Consider the following 1,144-nt stretch of genomic DNA (forward strand, 5'->3'; position numbering starts at 1 on the left):
AAACCCACCTTATTTTCAGACTCATATCCTAAACTAGCATTTTATACCATAACTATATTAAACCAATTCTTGGTTTCCAAACTGTGATGTCCTGTTTGGAGAGATAGGTAGGTAGATAGATAGATAGATGATAGATGTATAGATATGATCATTATAATGGAGATATTTATAAACTAAATTTTGCTCTGTGTGTGTATGTGCGTATAGAGACATGCACATACTTTTCACATTAGTACTTTTTGTCAGTGCACATGCCGAGCTTACTAAATGTCTAGCACATGAATGAGAGCTAATAAGGATCACAGGAATGAGTGAAACAGTGAAAGCATGAATAAATGAATACAACAAGATAAGAAACATAAAAAACGAAATTGCTTCAAAAATTGCAAAAATCAAATCCTAATAACCTTCAGTTTCAACTTCCAAGAGAACTTGGAAGTCACCATTCTTGTCCTTACCCTAAGAAGCTGAACAAACTGAAAATCATTAACTTTTTTGGAACCAATCAGAAAATTATGGTTGCAGGGCAAAACACCACCCTAAAATCTGGAGAGATAAGTAAATACAAAGAATTGCAGATGATATATCAATTTATTTAGAGCTGAAGCTGCTGGAATCATAAACTGGTAAAAACACAAAAATCATATTTTGATGAATTTCTAGGTACTGAATGTGATCTGCCCTGGAAGTGAGAAACTCTTAGGGGCTACAGTATGAGATAACACCTGCACATTTATAGGTTTTCTTCCAGAAACCCCAACAGGCTCTCAAAGTAAAGACTTGAGAAAGATCCCAGTGTGGCTCTGGCAGGGGGACAGAAAGAGTAATCATTGGGAAATATACTCAGAGTTCTCCATAGCAAAAGCCCACTACCCAGGGAAAAAGACTTTACTAGTGCCTTATTCCTCCAGGGAAGGGAATTTTTCCCATTCCACCCTCTTCTAGACTTCTTGTCTCATCTAAAACAAGAAGGAACTGAAAAACACTTGTGAAGGTCACAAGCCAGGGATAGAGGCCACTAATAGACTGAGATTTAATCACAGCATTACAGAACACTTCACCTTCCCAACAACTCACCACCATACTGACAAGACTCCAGTATAATAGTAGATTACAGCTGAAGGAGCTGAAAGATGCAGACTCT

Source organism: Homo sapiens, chromosome 18, assembly GCF_000001405.40.
Source record: "Homo sapiens chromosome 18, GRCh38.p14 Primary Assembly".
Classification (NCBI taxonomy): Eukaryota; Metazoa; Chordata; class Mammalia; order Primates; family Hominidae; genus Homo; species Homo sapiens.